General features: G+C 48.6%; 1 protein-coding gene across 9 annotated transcripts in view, besides 5 other annotated features; it reads left to right on the top strand.

The window, feature by feature from the left end:
* Positions 14460–14519: an enhancer, noted in NCBI's record as "active region_29893". NCBI's record gives its function as "activates an Ori minimal core promoter by ATAC-STARR-seq in GM12878 lymphoblastoid cells {active_cell/tissue: GM12878}" and the evidence as "EXISTENCE:reporter gene assay evidence [ECO:0000049][PMID:35858748]".
* Positions 17838–17887: a silencer, noted in NCBI's record as "silent region_20964". NCBI's record gives its function as "represses an Ori minimal core promoter by ATAC-STARR-seq in GM12878 lymphoblastoid cells {active_cell/tissue: GM12878}" and the evidence as "EXISTENCE:reporter gene assay evidence [ECO:0000049][PMID:35858748]".
* Positions 18068–18197: an enhancer, noted in NCBI's record as "active region_29892". NCBI's record gives its function as "activates an Ori minimal core promoter by ATAC-STARR-seq in GM12878 lymphoblastoid cells {active_cell/tissue: GM12878}" and the evidence as "EXISTENCE:reporter gene assay evidence [ECO:0000049][PMID:35858748]".
* Positions 18081–19467, top strand: part of SEPTIN6 (septin 6) — a 77445-nt gene continuing 76058 nt past the window's right edge. For all 9 annotated transcript variants that reach the window (NM_145802.4, NM_145800.4, XM_011531317.4 and 6 more), the window contains exon 1: positions 18081–18173. In NM_145802.4, the coding sequence (NP_665801.1) occupies positions 18144–18173 (30 nt within the window). In that variant the 5' untranslated portion in view covers positions 18081–18143. The remainder of the gene's footprint in view (positions 18174–19467) is intronic.
* Positions 18398–18527: a silencer, noted in NCBI's record as "silent region_20963". NCBI's record gives its function as "represses an Ori minimal core promoter by ATAC-STARR-seq in GM12878 lymphoblastoid cells {active_cell/tissue: GM12878}" and the evidence as "EXISTENCE:reporter gene assay evidence [ECO:0000049][PMID:35858748]".
* Positions 19018–19067: an enhancer, noted in NCBI's record as "active region_29891". NCBI's record gives its function as "activates an Ori minimal core promoter by ATAC-STARR-seq in GM12878 lymphoblastoid cells {active_cell/tissue: GM12878}" and the evidence as "EXISTENCE:reporter gene assay evidence [ECO:0000049][PMID:35858748]".

Raw genomic sequence — 19467 nt, 5'->3', positions numbered from 1 at the left:
GGGAGTCTTGCTCTGTTGCCAAGGCTGGAGTGCAGTGGTACAATCTCTGCTCACTGCAACCTCCGCCTCCCAGGTTCAAGCGATTCTCCTGCCTCAGCCTCCTGAGTAGCTGGGATCACAGGTGTGTGCCACCATGTCCAGCTAATTTTTGTACTTGGTCTTGTGATCTGCCCGCCTCGGCCTCCCAAAGTGCTGGGATTACAGGTGTGAGCCACTGCGCCTGGCCCTTTTATTTATTTATACCCTGCCTGCAACTAAATTATGAAACCTACTACTAGAGTGTGTCAACATTCAGCTCAGTGAACTGGAGCAACCAAGAAGTACACCATCCCCCAGGTTTTTTTTTTCTTTTTTGAGATGGACTCTTGCTGTGTCGCCCAGGCTGGAGTGCAGTGGCTCGATCTCCGCTCACTGCAAGCTCTGCCTCCCAGGTTCAAGTGATTCTCCTGCCTCAGCCTCCCGAGTAGCTGGGACTACAGGCATGTGCCGCCACGCCCAGCTAATTTTTTGCATTTTTAGTAGGGACGGGGTTTCACCATGTCAGCCAGAATAGTCTCTATCTCCTGACCTCGTGATCTGCCCGCCTCAGCCTCCCAAAGTGCAGGGATTACAGGCGTGAGCCACCGCGCCCAGCCACCATCCCCCAGGTTTTGCAGGTGACGTTTATCCCAATTGCTCAGGCTAGATGGCCAAACTCTAGACGAGATTAGGGTCTTCGTGATGCAGCTGAAAGCGCATTCTCTTTCTGACAACTTCCAGAATGAAGCTTCCATCAGGAGTCTGTCTCCAGAGCCAGCATGAGACAGGCCCAGGCTGAATAGCTCCCGCTGTTCCAGTTTATTTTGTTAAATACCAATGTTCTATTCTTATTATTGGATCAGTCAGACTTGACCAATGACCAACAGTAGGCCTATAAATATGCACTTTTGAGTGAATACAGTTGATACAACTTTTGGGGGTGCTTTTGTATTACTGTCTCCACAATACATATTGTTAAATAAACAACAAGCCATATTTCACCATTATTATTGATTTATGTGGCCCGTACATATCTACACCTTTTATTATGTAACCTACAATGGAGAAACATTGCCTTAAACAAACTTCTCTAAAATTTCAGGTCTCATGGCTAGATTTGTGATCAGAACTCCATGGTGGGTTATTTAAAACTGTAATCTCTGACAAGGGCTTAGAGAGCTAGTATTTTAGCTCTAAATTAAAAATGTTTATTGAAGGCTAATGCATATATTTTGGAAACCAATAGCAGAGGTGCTTTGTAGATATTCTATTACAAAAATTGAGAAGCTCGACCTCTGGTCTTGCCTGAATGGGAGGTCGTAGGAGCTCTCATGGAGGTGGGCCATGAAGCTACTTGCAGTGAAGCCCAGATCTTTCTCAGGAAATAGTTTTGGCCCTTTGCCAACATGTCAAAAAAATGCTTCATTGAGTCCCCATGTTCCATAATACAGAGCAGAGCATTAATCAGTCACTTTCCATGGTCATAGAAAAACCTCAATACTATTGCAGCACTGCAAAGGCCACATGAAGGACCCCTTTGAGAAGTTGGGGTGGTGCTTATCATTCAAAAGCAAGCTTAGGCCAGGCATGGTGGCTCACGCCTGTAATCCCAGCACTTTGGGAGACTGAGGCTGGCGGATCACGAGGTCAGGAGTTCAAAACCAGCCTGACCAACATGGTGAAACCCCGTCTCTACTAAAAATAGAAAAGTTAGCCAGGCATGGTGGTGTGCACCTGTAATCCCAGCTACTCAGGAGGCTGAGACAGGAGAATCACTTGAACGCGGGAGACAGAGGTTGCAGTGAGCTGAGTTCACACCATTGCACTCCAGCCTGGGCGACAAAGCAAGATTTTGTTTCAAAAAAAAAAAAAAAAAAAAAAGCGAGCTTAGATGAGGGGTGTTTTATCCTTTCTGACAAGATCTTATCCACACTTAAGCCAAGAAATTTCTGCCTTGCTTTAGAGATGTCTTCAAAACCCCCATGCCCCATGTCTCCGCAGAAAGAACTACCCCTTCCTCCCCCACATACACATCCCTACTCACCCTCAGTTTTGACTCCAGTTCAAGATAATAGATTCACACTATTGGAATCCACCCCTGTGCTTTTGTTGACATCTGGCATTTCCCAACCCATTTCTGGTTACCAGTGTTTTGTTCTTAGACCTCATTCTGATAATTTGATAATTTCCTTTGCCTATTTTACCCAGCCACTTCCTACTGCCATTCAGGCATCAACTTAGGTATCAACGCATCTGTAAAGCCTTCCTTAATTACCTGAGTCTCAATTGGGTACCCATCCTGAGGACCCCATTCTTTTCTTCACCACTCTGTATTATAATAACCTATGTGACTTTTCATCCCCCAACTCCCACCCAGACTGTACATTCCATAATGCACTTGTTCACCACTGTTTCCCAATGTCATGTACAGGTCTCAGCACACACAAAATGTTCTATAAATCTCTATTGAATAAATGAATGAATGAATGTATTCCACCAGTTTATTCACCCCTTTAAACCCTGACTGTATCCTTGACTTGGTCTCTCAGCTGAAGGCTGACACTGTGGAATGTCTGATTTTAAGTAACATGACTTCTCCATGAGTCTGCTTCGTTGAATTAGCTGCAAGTCAATATGCCCTCAGGTGACTGAATCTATTTTATAAAGTTATTTAATATTGACCAATTGAGTTACAGAAAATATGTGCCAAAGTCAGGGGTTACAATTTTATCTTGATTATTTCTAACAGGAGTAAAATACCATGACTGATTATCTTTTGAGGTCTCTCTTGGCAGGTAATGATAAAACCTTGTCACCAGCTTCCTAAAGGTCCCTGAATGTGTATTTGCCATGGCAGGGAAAATATCTGTCCAGGTGATTGAAACACACATTCAAATCACTGGAGTAGAAATTTAAAAAGAAGGGCGGGGAGTGGTGGCTCATACCTGAAATCCCAGCACTTTGGGAGGCCAAGGTGAGAGGATTGCTTGAGGCCAGGAGTTAGACACCAGCCTGGGCAACATAGGGAGACCCCTGTCTACACAAAAAACTAGCTGGGCATAGTGGCGTGAGCCTGTAGTCTCAGATACTGGAGAGGCTGAAGTGGGAGGATCATTTGAACCCAGGAGGTCAAGGCTACAGTGAGCTGTGATCATTGCTCCACTGCACTACAGCCTGGGAGACAGAGCGAGACCCTGTCTCAAAAAAAAAAAAAAAAAAAAAAAAAGGGAGGTGCTGGGTGCAGTGTCTCACACCTGTAATCCCAGCACTTTGGGAGGTGGAGGTGGGTGGATCACTTGAGGCCAGGAGTTCGAGACCAGCCTGGGCAACATAGAGATACTGTCTTTACAAAAAATAAACAAAAAAACGTAGCCAGGCATGGTGGCGTATGCCTGTGGTCCCCGCTACTTGGGAGGCTGAGGTGGGAGGACCAGCTGAGCCCAGGAGGTTGAGGCTGCAGTCAGCCATGATTGAGCCACTGCACTCCAGCCCGTCTCCAAAAGAAAAGAAAAGAAATGTAAAAAGAAGGGAGCAGGCCCTTTGCAAGTGTTTTCTGTCCTATTATGATATTTTAAATACTTAGTTGTAAAGATGAAATTGGCTGGGCGCGGTGGCTCAAGCCTGCAATCCCAGCACTTTGGGAGGCCGAGGCAGTCAGATCACGAGGTCAGGAGTTCGAGACCAGCCTGGCCAACATGATGAAACCCTGTCTCTACTAAAAATACAAAAATTAGCCGGGCATGGTGGCACTCGCCTGTAATTCCAGCTGATCAGGAGGCTGAGGCAGGAGAATCACTTGAACCTGGGAGGCAGAGGTTGCACTGAGCCGAGATCGTGCTACTGCACTCCAGCCTGGGAGACAGAGAGAGATTCCATCCCAAAAAAAAGATGAAATTAGGAGTGTTACCTGGCCACCGAAAGACCACACAGGATGCTAATACCTTGGTGAATATACTAAGATCTACAGTTTGTTCCTCGTCTTTGCAATTTAAAACACCTCAGCTTCCGAAAGATAATTCATGCTAGCCAAATTCACATTCATCAAAGCAGAGTGACAATTTAGTAATTTACAATAAAATGAAGAACACTAAGGGCAAATATCATAAAGGGAAGTATTGATAGATTTGACTGCATAAATATTTTAAAACTCTTATACAAAAATCCACCATAAGTAAATGAGAAAGGATTAATATTCATATGTACACAAAGACCTCTGTGAATTCCCAAGAGAAAGATAAGTGTTTCAATATAAAAGTGAGCTAAGGACATGTACAGGAAATTTATAAAAGAGAAGATACAATTGGCTGATAACTACGAATTTCAATTCTTCTTTCTCCTGTCAGCAGTGTGCTACAGCCTGCTTGCGGGGCTTGAAACGTCACATAGATAGCCTGAAATCAGTCATAGTGAGAGTATTTTACACCATGGAAATCGGCAAATGATGCACAGCAGGGTTGTTGTTTGTTTTTTTCTTGGAAAGCCAATTACTAAACATTTACCAGCCCAGTACTCTGTGTATTCAATCACTACCTTTCACCGGAATCCTTTCCAACAACATTTAACATTCTCATGTCTTTTCTGCCATCTTTCTTTTATTATTATTATTGTCTATTTTTTGAAACAGAGTCTCACTCTGTCACTCAGGCTGGAGTGCTATGGCGTGATCTTGGATCACTGCAACCTCTGCCTCCTGGTTTCAAGCAATTCTCCTGCCTCAGCCTCCCAAGTAGCTGGAATTACAGGTGCCCACAACCATGCCTGGCTACTTTTTGTGGTTTTAGTAGAGATGGGGTTTCACCAGGTTGGCTAGGCTGGTCTCGAACTTCTGACCTCAAGTGATCTGCCTGCCTTGGCCTCTCAATGTGCTGGGATTACAGGCGTAAGCCACCACGCCCAGCCTGCCATCTTTAAAGAAACTCTGACCTCTACATCCTTCTCCAGCTACCATACCATCTCTGTTTTCCTTTACAGCCATGTTGTTTTTTCAAATTGGCTATATAGTACTTGCTGAATCCATTTGCTCATTTCCCAATCATTCTTCAGCATACTTGAGCCTTTTTTTTTTGCCACCATCACACTCCCAAAACAGCTCTTGATTAGCTCAATGAGCTCCATGAACCCTAAATTCTATGGACAGTTTTCCCTTATCTCCCTTGACCTTTTGGCAGTTGGCAATATTCAGCTCTTTTTTTTTTTTTTTAAAGAGATGGGGTCTTTCTATGTTGCCCAGGCCGGTTTCAAACTCCTGGGCTCAAGTGATCCTCCTGCCTTGGCCTCCCAAAGTGCTGGGATCACAGGCATGAGCCAATGCGCCCAGCCAGGATTCAGTTTTGTTGACCATTACCTTCTTGAAATCCTCTTGTCCTTGGGTTTCAGTGGCATGTGGTGGTCTGCATTTTCCTCCATCCTCTCTGGCTTCTCCTTTTCAGGTTCTTCCTCCTATTTTCCATCTCTTAATGTTGAGGTTTTCCAGGGATTAGTCTTGAGTCCTCTAGGTCATTTCATCTATTCCCATGGGTTTAAATACCACCTGCAAACCAATGACTCCTATACTTTTATCTCTCCTCTGAGCTGTAATTGCGTACTCGACATCTTCCCCTTCAATGCCTCAAAAGCTTCTCAAACTCAACATGTCCCAAACTGGTGCCAAAGACTTTCTCCTTCCTCCCCAAATCAGAGGTTCTCCAGTGCTCCCCATCTCAACAAAATGTACCACCACATAAGCCAGAAACCTCAAAGTTGTCCTTGGCATCTCTGTCTTCCTCATCCTCCACCTCCCATCACCAAGTCTGGGTTGTCTTTCCCTCCTAAATATCTCCCAAAGAAGTTTTCTTTTCTCCATTTCCACTTCCAACACCCTAGTACAAGCCCGCATGATCTCTCAGCTGGACCACTGCAATAGCCTCCTAACTGACCTTCCTGCCTCCACTCTTTTTGCCTTTCAATACACTGTCCACACTGAAGACAAGGGAACTTTTCAGAACATGGATCTGATTATGTCACTCTCCTGTCTTAAGACTCTCAGTGGCTTCCTGTTGCTTCCTGTTTGCTTTTTATATTGTTGGATAAAAATATCCCCCTTAATGTTGGTCTAGGGGCCTGTGTGATCTTGCTCTATGCTCACCTCTTCAGTCTCATTTCATCCTGCTCTGGTCCCTGTGCACTTCAGCCACATCAGCTTTCTTTTCTTTTTGTTTCTTTCTCTCTTTCTTTCTTTTTTTTTTTTTTTGAGATAGGGTTTCGCTCTGTCGCCCAGGCCAGAGTGCAATGGTGCAATCACAGCTCACTGCAGCCTCCACCTCCAGACTCAAGCAATCCTTCCACTTCAGCCTCCCAAGTAGCTGGGACTACAGGTATGTGCTACTATGCCTGGCTAATTTTTTAACCTTTTTTTTTTTTTTTTTTTTTAGAGATGAGGTCTCACTATGTTGCTCAGGCTGGTCTCAAACTCCTGGCCCCAAGCAATCCTCCTGCCTTGGCCTCCCAAAGTGCTAGGATTACAGGTGTGTGTCACCACTCCCACCCTCTGTTTCTTGCATAGAGTTTTCATACATGCTCTTTCCTTTGCTTGGAATGCTCTTCCTACTCCCATCCTCCCTTTACCTTGCTCACACCCATTTAATCTTCTGATCTGAATTCAAACGTCACTTCCTCCATGAAGCCTCATAGATGGACATACTAGACTGCTAGACTAAGTCAAATCTGTCCCCATCCCACCCCACCACCATTATAGGCTCTCAGGGCACCATGAGTATCTCCTAGGTGCTCTTATTGCAGTTTTATTTTTTCATTAATGTGTGTGATATTGTTTGCTATCTGTCTTCCCTATTAGACTGTAAGCTCCATGAAGTCAGGGACCAAGTCTGCTTTTGCTCACTGTTAATCTCCAGCACTTAGTCTAGGACTTGACACACGGTAGGTACTCAATAAATATTTGTGGGATTAATGAATCACATAGTGACCTTTGTGTATAGGAAATACATAAAACTATGCAAGCTAGTATTTTTCCTTTTGCTATGCCTTCCAGAAAGCTAAAAATCATATTTAAAGCTTGCGATGGTTAATTTTATATGTCAACTTGACTGGGCCAAGGGATTCCCAGAAATAGGATGTGTCTGTGAACATGTTTCTGGAAGAGATTAGCATTTGAACTGGTAGATTGAGTAAAGCAGATGGCCTTCCCCAATGTGGGCATCATCTAATCTGTTGAGGGCCTGAATAGAAGGAAAAAACAGATGAAGCTGGGCCCAATGACTTATGCCTGCAATCCCAGTGCTTTGGGAGGCTGAGGCAGGAGGATTGTTTCAGACCAGGGGTTCAAGATCAGCCTGCACAACAAAGTGAGACCCTGTCGCTACTAAAAATAAAAAAAATTAGCTGGGCATGGTGGCAAGTGCCTGCAGTTCCAGCTACTTGGGAGCCCAAGGCAGAAGGAATTCTTGAGCTTATGAGCCCAGGATTTTGAGGCTGCAGTCAGTGAGCTATGATTGTGCCACTGCACTCCAGCCTTGGGGACAGAGTAAGATCCCGTCTCTTAAAAAAATGCAGTGGAAGATTGAGTTGCCTTTCTTTCCCTAACTGTTGATCTGAGGCATTTCTCTTCTCCTGTCCTTGGATCTTTTTTGTTTTTTTAAAGACAGAATCTCACTCTGTGGCCCAGGCTGGAGTGCAGTGGCATGATCTCAGCCCACTACAACCTCTGCCTCCTGGGTTCAAGTGATTCTCCTGCCTCAGCCTCCCAGGTAGCTGGGATTACAGGCCCCTGCCATCACTCCCGGCTAATTTTTGTATTTTTAGTAGAGATGGGGTTTCACCATGTTGGCCAGGCTGGTCTCGAACTCCTGGCCTCATGTGATCCACCCGCCTTGGACTCCCAAAGTGCTGGGATTACAGGCGTGAGCCACCATGCCCGGCCTCTTTGGACTCTTGGGCTGGCACTTACACCATCAGATCTTCTGGTTCTCAGGCCTTTGGATTCGAACTGGAATTTTGTGCCCCTGACTTTCCTGGTCTCCAGGTTGCAGATGGTAAATTGTCGGGCTTCTCAGACTCCATAATCATGTGGGCCAATTCTTTATAATAAATATCATATATGTTAATATAATAAGTATATAAAATTAATATACATATATTCTGTTTCTCTGGAGACTCCAGTGTAATACAAAGCTGAATCATAGCAATTATATCAACCCACTAGAAATAGCATATTTGAATTCTCTGTTTTGATCCTGATGTACCCATAAAATCTGTTTTGGAATGAGATGTGCGTGTGTGTGTGCATGGGTGTGCACATGTATCTGTGTACACAGTGTATGGGTACAAAAAGAAATCAGTACATAAATGCAAAGTATTGAGAGCTTGATATAAAATGGATATCTCATCTTGATCAATGAGTAATGGTGGTGATGGTGAAGCCAATATCTCACCAAGGTGTCATTATCATCTTTTTCTTTCTTTCTTTCTTTTTTTTTTTTTTTTGAGACGGAGTCTTGCTCTGTCACCAGGCTGGAGTGCAGTTACGTGATCTCGACTCACTGCAACCTCCACCTCCCAGGTTCAAGCAATTCTCCTGCCTCAGCCTCCCGAGTAGCTGGGACTACAGGCGAGCGCCACCACGCCCAGCTAATTTTTGTACTTTTAGTAGAGACACGGTTTCACCATGTTGGCCAGAATGGTCTTGATCTCTTGACCTAGTGATCCGCCCGCCTTGGCCTCACAAAGTGCTGGAATTACAGGCATGAGCCACTGTGCCTGGCCTTTTTTTTTTTTTTTTCTGACAGACTCTTGCTCTGTTGCCCAGGCTGGAGTGCAATGGTGTGATCTCGGCTCACTGCAACCTCTGCCTCCCGGGTTCAAGCGATTCTCCTGCCTCAGCTTCCCGAGTAGCTGGGACTACAGGCGTGTGCCACCATGCCCGGCTAATTTTTTGTATTTTTAGTAGAGACGGGGTTTCACCATGTTAGCCAGGATGATCTCAATCTCCTGACCTCATGATCCACCCGCTTTGGCCTCCTAAAGTGCTGGGATTACAGGCGTGAGCCACCACGCCTGGCTCATTACCATCTTTTTCTATCTGTCTCTTATTTTTCTGTGTCTTATTTCAATCCTCTCACAGTCTTTGTGACTTGTCTGTGGAGAACTGTGAGGCCACTGGGTACAGACCTTGTTTCTCTCAATTCTCTACCATATCTATGGGTTGTTGATCAGTATCACTCAACTTGCAGAACTCGGTGTCTTTGTAAACTTTTTTTTCTTGTGAAATATAACATACATCCAGAAGAGTTCCTAAAGCATAAAATACAGCAGAATCAATATTGATAAAGCAAACACCCATGTAAAGACCACCGGGAAGTAGAACATTGGTATTTATTGTCTGTACTACACCTTGGATACTGCCTTATGACGTATTTGGTATTTGCTATTTGACTTTGTGTGTATGTGTGTGTGTGTGTGTGTGTGTGTGTAGTCTCCCCAGTTAGACACCAAGCTCTTTCAGAACAAAACTATATTTTTTCTGGATATACCCCACCATTCCTTTTTTAGGTTCGGGGGTACACGTGTAGGTTTGTTACATGGGAGTGTTGCATGAGAAACTAGACTTTATATTTCTTTTCTTTTTTTTTTTTTTGAGATGGAGTCTCGCTCTGTCTCCCAGGCTGGAATGCAGTGGCAACATCTCGGCTCACTGCAACCTCTGTCCCTGCCAGGTTCAAGTGATTCTCCTGCCTCAGCCTCCCGAGTAGCTGAGATTATAGGCATGCACCACCACGCCCAGGAAATTTTTGTATTTTTAGTAGAGACGGGGTTTTACCATGTTGGCCAGGCTGGTCTCAAACTCCTGACCTCATGTGATCCGCCCGCCTCAGCCTCCCAAAGTGCTGGGATTACAGGCGTGAACCACCGCACTGGCCTAGACTTTATATTTCTTTATACATACTACAGTGCCTAGTGGAGGGTCCTAGATATGGCAGGTGCTCAATACTTTCTACAAGATCGTACTCTATGGCTCTGGGAATACTGCTGAGCAAACAACAGTTGTTTGGGGGAATACAAAATTATATCGTTTGTCTAAATCAGTGTGTATAAACCAGGGTATAAGGATAACTAGTATGTCATGATGTGGGTGGGAAGCCCAGCCTTCTCTTGAGTTCCAGGTCTTGCCTAGCTGAGGACTATTACAGTACCCTGCTAACTAGTCTCCCTCTAGTCTTTTTTTTTTTTTTTTGGCTCACTGCAACCTCCAACTCCCAGGTTCAAGCGAGTCTCTTGCCTCAGCCTCCCAAGTAGCTGGGATTACCAGCGCGTGCCACCATGCCTGGCTAATTTTTTTGTATTTTTAATAGAGACGGGGTTTCACTGTGTTGGCCAGGATGGTCTCGATCTCTTGACCTCGTGATCCACCTGCCTTGGCCTCCCAAAGTGCTGGGATTACAGGTGTGAGCCACCGCGCCCGGCTTCCTGCCTCTAGTCTTACCTTCATTCAATCAGTTCTTCATGTGGTGACTCAAGTGATCTGCATAAACATAGATCTCACTCTGTCATGCCACTGCTCAATAACCATTCACGCAGTAGTTCTCCAACTTTGATGTGCCTCAGAGCCGCCTGGAGTGCTTGGTACAAATCCACATTCTTTCTCTCATACAGAGATTCTGATTCAGCAGATCTGAGGTGGGCTCTAGGGCCCTGCATCTGTTAGGAACACTATAGGTGATTCTGATGCAGCTGGTTGGGTACCACCCATTAAGAAACAGGAATTCAAAGGCTCTTTTATTCCCTACACATTGAAACTTCAGCATCCATAGAATGGCACACAAGACCTTTAATGGGTGGCCCCTTGTAATGCTGAGTCTATTCCTTCCATGCCACTCCACTCTCATGTCGCTGTCACCAGCATTTCTTGCTTGAACTGCTACAGCAGTGTCCTCACTCCCAAGTCTTGCATATTTTTCTTTTTTAGAGTTGAGGTCTCACTCTGTTACCCAGGCAGTGCAGTGGTGCAATCATAGCTCACTGCAGCCTTGAACGTCTGAGCTCAAGTGATCCGCCTGCCTCAGCCTCCCAAAGTGCTGGGATTATAGGCATGAGCCACTGCACCTGGCCCCTAACTGCTTTAATCGCCTTCTGTTCCAATCTTTTTCCCAAGCTGGAGAGAGAGTGACCTTTCAAAATTGCAAATATGGGCTAGGCATGGTGGCTCACACCTGTAATCCCAACACTTTGGGAGGCCAAGGCGGGTGGATCACCTGAGGTCAGAAGTTCGAGACCAGCCTGACCAACTTGGTGAAACCCCATCTCTACTAAAAATACAAAAATTAGCTGGACCTGATGGCACAAGCCTGTAGTCCCAGCTACTCGGGAGGCTGAGGCAGGAGAATTGCTTGAACCCAGGAGGCAGAAGTTGCAATGAGTAGAGATCGTGCAACTGCACTGCAGCCTGGGTGAGAGAGCAAGACTCCATCTCAAGAAAAAAAAAAATTGCAAATATGTTCAAGTCACTCTCCTGCTCAAAACTCTTCAGTGACTCCTCACTATTTAAGGGATAGTTTCTCCAACTGGTTCAGGTGGCATAGCATCTGGATGTGGTGGTGCTCTTTCCAGAATGTAATGAAATAATTCATATATTAAATCATGCCATATGAAATAAAACACTTTTCAAAAGAACACTTCTGCTAGCTAAAAATATGTCCACATTATGTGTGTGCAATATAAAATCATAGCCACAAGTACAGATGTCCGTGAAAAAATAAACTGTTGAATTAAGCATGATTAGTACTGCGTTTGTCTGTTTTATATTCGTTGGCAAGTTGTTCATTCATTTTTGTTACTTGCTAGCAGATAAGCAGGAGCATCTGTCAAAGATTTAGGAAAATTTATGGTTAAAAAAAGTTCAAATAGAGAAATTTCTACCCATTAACTGATTTTTTTTTTTTTTTTTTTTTTTGCACTGTGAGCATCCCATTTACATTGGGCGTAGTTCCAGGCGTTGTCTGGAGAGCAGAGCTTGAGAACCCCTATTCTGGAGCAAAAAGTGTAAGCAACTTGGTATGACCAACCTGATCCTTCCAGATCCAGCCCCATCTTATCTTCCAGTCTCATTTATAGCCACTGTCCCCTCTTCCTACCACTCCCTCTGGCCAAGAGTTAAAATTCCTGAAATGCTCTCTGCCCTTTCTTTCTGGTTTTACTCATGCTATTCTCTCTGCTGCCCCCTCTTGACTGCCAGATAAACCACCACTCATTCTTAAAGATTCAATCCAAATGGCTCTTCTTTGAGATACCTTCCCTCACCTCTCTGGGTGTCTTCCTCCCCAGGGTGTTGCTCCTGACCAATTATATCACTTATCACATTACTGGTTGTTTGTAGAGCTATCTGGCAACTGTCCTGGGAGTGTCTTAAGGTGAAGGTAGGAGTTCTTGTCACCTATTCTTTCTTGAGTCCTCTGGCACTTAGCAATTGGCAGTTGAGATTTAGTGAGTATTTGTGGAATGAATGAAAATTGCAAAGAAGGTGTATTAGTCATTTTCATACTGCTATAAAGAACTGCCTGAGACTGGGTAATTTAAAGAGGTTTAATGCAGTTCAGCATGGCCGGGGAAGCCTCAGGAAACTTACAATCATGGCCAAAAGTGAATGGGAAGCAAGGCACCTTCTTTACAAGGCATCAGGAAGGAGAAGGGCCAGGCGAAGGGGGAAGAGTCCCTTATAAAACCATGAGGTCTGGCTAAGCACAGTGGCTTACACCTATAATCCCAGCACTTTGGGAAGCTGAGGTAGGCGGATCACTTGAGGTCAGGAGTTCGAGACCAGGCTGGTCAACATGGTGAAACACTCTTTCTACTAAAAATACAAAAATTAGCTGGGCGTGGTGACGCTCGTCTGTAATCCCAGCTACTCGGGAGGCTGAAGCATGAGAATCGCTTGAACCCTGGAGGCGGAGGTTGCAGTGAGCCAAGATTGTGCCACTGCAATCCACCCTGGGTGACAGGTTGAGGCTCCATCTCAAAAAAAAAACAAACCCATCAGATCTCGTGAGAACTCACTCACTATCATGATAACAGCATGGGGGAAACCACCTCGTGATTCAATTATCTCCACCTGGTCTTTCCCTACCTCCACCTGGTCTCTCCCTTGACACAAAGGGATTATGGGGATTACAATTCAAGATGAGATTTGGGTGGGGACACAAAGCCTAACCATATCGGGAGGCAAAGTTTATCTTTCTAACTCTTCTAGTGAGCTAGCTCCTGCTGGGTTCCCTTCTATTACTTTTTTGGCACCCCCTTTCCCATACCCTCACTCCTCCCACCATAGAAATCCAACAGATCTACAATTATTGGCAATGGCCCGGCCTTCAAACTTCTCCTTCAATATCCTACCAAACCTTACCAGTCCTGTATCCCAACCCATCAGGGCTAGATTTTCAAGATAAACCAGTGGTCTTCAAACTTCAGCATAAATCAGAATCCACTGGAGCACTTGTTAAAATACAGATTCCTGGGTCCCATCCTAGAAGTTCTGATTCAGTAGGTCTCGGGTGGGGCCCAATAATTTGCATTTTTTATAACTTCCCATATGCTGCTGATGCTTCAAAGGCCACATTTTAAGAAACACTGGAAAGAAACTAAAGCAAAACCAGGGGCAGCAGGTGATAATGCAGAATTGAGGAAAGGGATCTTTAGTTCATTTTGACTCAGCCCCTTCACAGAGTTTCTGATTTAATTGGCACTGTCTGGATTTGGTGAATCCCGGATCATTTTCCCTGCTTCACCTTGTCTTCCTCCTCCAACTTTCTTCTCTTTCTTTTCTTTTCTTTTCTTTTCTCTCTCTCTCTCCCCCTCCCTTTCTTTTTTTTGATGGAGTCTCGCACTGTCACCCAGGCTGGAGTACAGTGGCACAATCTCGGCTCACTGCAACCTTCACCTCCCAGGTTCAAGCAATTCTCCTGCCTCAAGTAGGTGGGACTACAGGCATGCGCCACCACACCCGGCTAATTTTTGTATTTTTAGTAGAGACGGGGGTTTCACCATGTTGGCTAGGCTGGTCTCGAACTCCTGACCTCAAGTGATCCACCTGCCTCAGCCTCCCAAAATGTTGGGATTACAGGCATGAGCCGCCACGCCCGGCCCCTCCTCCAACTTTCTGATCTTATTTTTCAGATGGTTCTCAGGGCTTCTCCACTTGAGACTGACTCTACCATCTTTCTCGTTCTCCTATCACAAAGCCACAGTTTCAGGACAAAGCCCTTTCCTGACCTCTTAGCTCCATTTCAGTGCCCTCTTCTCCCTCCCTGCCCCTGAGTTGCTTGCTGCTCCTCTATCCAGTATTAGCACCCCCAACTCCAGCAGTGACCTGTGGAAAGCTGGGCTCCAATTAGGGCCCACTCTTATCTAGCAGGGGTAGCCATTTCTGCTCCCAGGCAGTAGAGTCTGGCTCCACAAACATTGGCATGCTAATGACAGCCACCTGCTTGCCCCTGGGAAGTCTCTGTTTGTTGCAGCTTCTTTAAGGACATGGAAATACTGAAGCCACCTCATTTACATGCTTCTGTTCATTCCTTTACTCAACAAACATTGATTGAACACCTGCCAGACACCATGCTGGGCCCAAGGGACCCCACAAGGAAACATCAAACATGAGCACATACATGTTCATGGAAGCGCCCGGGAGTCCCAAATGACTCTTCATAAAGGGGAATCTTTTGGCTTCACTCATCAACGAGGACAGACATTCAAGGAAGAAAACTCACGAACTGACCACTCATGAGCCCTCTTGCCTCCTCAGCCCTTCCATCTCCCCTGTTCTTGGGAAGGTGACCCGGGACAAAGACTGAAAGGCATGATTTCAGGCCGGGTGCGGTGGCTCACACCTATAATCCCAGCACTTTGCAAGGCCGAGGCAGGTGGATCACGAGGTCAGGAGTTCAAGACCAGCCTAGCCAAGATGGTGAAACCCTGTCTCTACTGCAAATACAAAAAAAAAAAAAAAAAAAAAATAGCTGGGCGTGGTGGTGGGCGCTTATAGTCCCAGCTGCAGCAGAGAATTGCTTGAACCCAAGAGGCAGAGGTTGCAGTGAGTAGAGATCACGCCACTGCACTGCAGCCTGGATGACAGAGCACTCCGTCTCAAAAAAAAAATAAAAAAGGAAAAAAAAAGAAAGGCATGATCCCAGAGAGTTTCCAAACCTCTTTATTGAAATGAATGTTCTGATTCACACGTCTCAGTCGTCGGCCCACTGCACTGAGTGAGATAAGGTATGTAAAGCTAGTGAGCTAACACCTCTCTCCATATTGACACACATACACTCACCATGCATTGAAATACACTGACACACCAACACATGCCAACACACACATTGACACACAGATATACAGACACACAGCTAGCACACACTGACAATACACACGAACACACCGACACATCTACTCACACATCAAGACCAACACACACACTGACCCACACCCCACCGAAGGAGGCTGGAGGCCCAGGCCCCAGGAGGGACTTGTAGCCGCAGGTGGGCAGGTATTGGAGGAACCAAAGGGTCCCAGGAGACTTGAATTAAGCACTTAGTTCAGGTCTTCGAGGTTCAGCGTTTTGGAGGAGGAGGACGCAGTGAGGTTCTGGTAGTCTCTAGGGACAGGAGGGCCGAATGGGGCATATGGATGAGACACCAAGGATTCCGTGCTCAGGTGCCCCCAGCGCTGGGCCGGTAAGTACGGAGCTTCAGTCCGCGAGGAGTGCTAAGGCGGGCGGGGCAGTGCGTGGGGGATTCTCCCGGGAGACCCGCAGCCCTCCAGTCCCCTCCCGTTCCGGCAGCAGCTTTCTGCTCTGGCTTCCAAATTCTCCCCTTTTGTCCCACCACCACCCAAACCCCAAGTCCAGATCGGGGCTAGTGACCTCGGGGCCTTTCAGTCCACCACGCCCTAGCCTTTGCCAGGGAAGAGCCCTGTCCCAGACACCCAGCCTGGAAGCCGCCAGTCACCTCTGACTCCCCGCCCCCATGCGGTTGGGGCCCAAGCCTCACCGTGGTTCCTCAGATATAGCACTGGTCCCCCGTGTCACTGCCAACCCAGTCCAGGGCTCAGGCCCTGCCCCAAAGCTCCAGAGAGTCTGAAAGACTCCAGCTGCCCCTCTTCCTTGCCACCGCCATCCGCCCTATGGCCTGCGCCTTCTGTCTCGCGGAGCTCCTCTGCGCTGATCCCTGATTTTGCCAGGCTCTTCTCTTTAGGCCGCTCCTGGGTCTCCAGCACAATGAAGGCGCACAGTGGCGCTCCCTGAATACTTGGCTCTTCATGACTGTCCTTACTGCTATTCCCTCACTGTGTCTCTTCTTTCTTCTCCCCGCCCCCCTCGCACGCATCCAAGTTCTCTGCCCTCAGCTTAATAGAGTGCCTCCTGACTGCGAGGCCCTGCACTCGGCCCTGGGATGCGTTTGCTGAGTCCTTGTTCTCCAGGCGCACAGGGTACATACATAAAGGGCTTCCCGAGAGAGTGTGAGAAGCTCCATCCAGCAGGTGGAACCAAGTGCCAGGCATGCTCTTCTTTGGCTACTCCATTTTCTTGTCTTCCCTGACTTCTCCGAGACCAGGGCCTCTGGATCGAGTCCCTTCTTCCTCTCTCTCCCTGGTTCCTTCTTTTCTTTTTCCCTCTCTCCTGCCTCCTCCTCAGCTGCTCCAGCCTTGGGCCTTTACGGGGTCATCTTCCATGCTCCATTGGGGCCCCCTCTTGGGCCCGGGTTTCCTCCATAGCCTTGTCATCCCCTCCCCCATCTGGGGTCCCTCTGGCGGGCCCAGGTCTCTCTCCCACACCAGGGAACCTGCCCTTTTGAGGAGTGGAATGTACTGTCCCTCCCGCTGGGGCCTCGGGCATGCCAAATCTGCCAGCGTGCTCCAGTGACAGGGAGCTAGCAAGAGGCCAGTCCCAAGAGAGAGGGGAGGGCGCCAAGGCCGGAGAAGTGGAGAGGTGCCCACGAGAGAGGACCCGCGGAGGTGGGCCACGGGGATAAGGAGGGCGGGCGGGCGCACCCCTGCCTTCGGAAGTTCTCTCCTCTGCGCCCTATTGGCCGCCTTGTCCCGGGCTGAATGAGGGTCAAGGAGAAATCAGGGGGCGGGACAGAGTGACTGGAGGCCGCTCCCCGTCACCCGCCCCTCCATTTCGCTCCATAGAGCTGAGAACCTTCATCTCCAGCCCTTCCTCTGGTACTAGAAGGGGTGGGTGGTCTTGCTGAGCGTCTAGGGCTGGGTCGGAGAGAGGAGGCGTGGGTTCCGTCTGTACTAGGTACCCAAAGGTGGTGAGCTTGGCTCCACGAAATTACAGCCCACAGCACCCAAGGCTTGGAAACCCCAGGGCAGAAGCAGCGTCTCAAGACCTCTAGCCTCGGACCCCACATGCCACAGCTCAGCTCAGTTGCCGGGCTGCAGTGCGGCTCCCCCCACGGGCCCCCTTTCTAAGCTCTACTGTGGAGCGGCAGGTGCCGCAGGCCTCCCCGGTACCTCGGCCGCAGCTGCGCTCCCGGGCCATGGAGGGAGGGAGACACGACAGTGGGGCATCGAGACTCCAGCGGCCAAGGCGCACCCATCTAAGCACCTTGGGATCTCGGTGGAAAGGAAGGGGGGTAACGGGGGCCGGGAGGAGAACTGCAGAGCTCGGCCGCTGAGCAGAGTATGGGAGGGGGGAGGGGCGGGGGCTCCCTTCCAGCCTTCGGGGTCTGGGGACTTAGGGATGTAAAGGAGAGCAGGGGGGTGTGACAATTCAGCAGAGGTCGGGACGTACCACGGAGCCAAGTGGCGGGGGGGGCAGAGGACGTGGTCACCGAGGGGAGCCCCCGCCCCCCTTCGTAGAAGCCTATGGCTGGGGTTGCAGGAAGAACTGGAACTGGTCTGGCCATAGGGGGAAGCGGCGCGTTAAATCCGCCCCCTCTCCATACCCTACTTTCAAGGGGTGGGCGGTAGAGGGGAGGTTGGGGTTGGAGCAGCGGCGAGGGGGCCCCTCCCTTGCACCTCCCCCCACCGGACTTGGTCGCGCCCGAAGTGTAACACTTTCTCTTTGTCGGAGGAGCTCCTCTGTTTCCTGTGCAGTAGCTCCCGTTGCGGCGGCACCCGTGGCAGCCCTGGCGGACGCAGGAGCGATGGCAGCGACCGATATAGCTCGCCAGGTGGTAAGTGCAGAGCTTGGGTGCCAGGGCCGGGGCCGAGGGCCTGGTGAGGGTCAAGGAGACCTGGCCGCCGCCGCCACATCGCGAGGAGGGCAGTGGGCAGCATCCAGGAGCCAAGGGCACGGTGGGACTTCTGCTCCCGGGGTCAGCAGCTCAGTCCCTCAGCCTGTCCCGGAAAACGGTGGTGGCGCGCGGGGGGCGGGGGGCGGCAGGGGGGCAGGCAAAACCTGCGGGCCGGCGGCTGAACTTGCATTGCCCAAGAGCCGCAGTGAGCGCCACCGCCTCCCTCGCTGCAGCTGCGGCCCCACGGCTGGGGCGTTGCCGAATGAATGGCCGTAGGAGCCGCCGAGCCCTCCGGGTCCCTGGCACCCTGGCCTTGCCGCGCCCCTGCGCACGGCTGCCCGTTGTGACCCGGGACCGCACAGGCAAAGAGGCGCGGGGCTGGGGTTAGCCTGGGGCAGAAGGCGGTGAGTGGCGAGGGGGGCGGGGAGGTGACTGGCTGGGATAGGGTTTCTCTATATGCATTACATATGTGACTGCGTCTGTGTGTGTATCGGTGTGCGCGTATGTGTGCACGCGCGCGCGCTCGTGTCTTCCCGGGCGGGCGGCGGCGGCGCCGGGGTTCTGTCTGTGACCCAAAGAAGTCCGCGTGTTTCTCTGAGTGTGCTCACCTCTGTGGTGTGTGTCCGAACGCCTCTCTGTCTGCTTGTGCTGTGTGCCTCTGGGTCTCATTTGTGCGTCAGTGTGGGGTGCAGTTGGCTGGCCTGTAGGTGGCTGGCTGCGTATTTTGGCATGTTTTGGAGCGGGCCTCTGAGGATCTGTCTCGGGTGCATGTTCAGTGTAACTGGGCTTGTGTGCCAAAACCTGTGGAGCTGGCTTCTTTCTATGGAGACTCAGGAAAATAAGTGTGAGACTCGCAAAAGCGGTGCCGTCTCTTTTTTTGTTGGCGACCGACTCTGGGAAAAAAAAAATCTTCATTTAAAGAACTGAAGTTTTCCAGCCTGGGATGTGCAGAGAAACCATGTTGAAGTGACCTGAGGCTCCATGTTTGTTTTTTAAACCAGAAGTTTGGTTGCAAAGGGCGATGAATTCCATTTGGGGGGGACACCCTAGCTATTCTATTCATCCATGGGTATCTGGGACTTTAATAAGCCCACCAGCACCCCGAGGTGAGGAAGGAGTGGGAGACAGAGGTAGGTCAAATCCCATGACACCACATACTACTTGACGAAAATCTCTGAACCACATAAAAATGTTTTTCAACCTTGTAGCTTACTTATTTAGGAAAATAGTTCAT

This window comes from Homo sapiens, chromosome X (genome assembly GCF_000001405.40).
Source record: "Homo sapiens chromosome X, GRCh38.p14 Primary Assembly".
Classification (NCBI taxonomy): Eukaryota; Metazoa; Chordata; class Mammalia; order Primates; family Hominidae; genus Homo; species Homo sapiens.
Note: the sequence above shows the minus strand (reverse complement) of the source record. Positions and strands in the feature narration are given on the sequence as shown.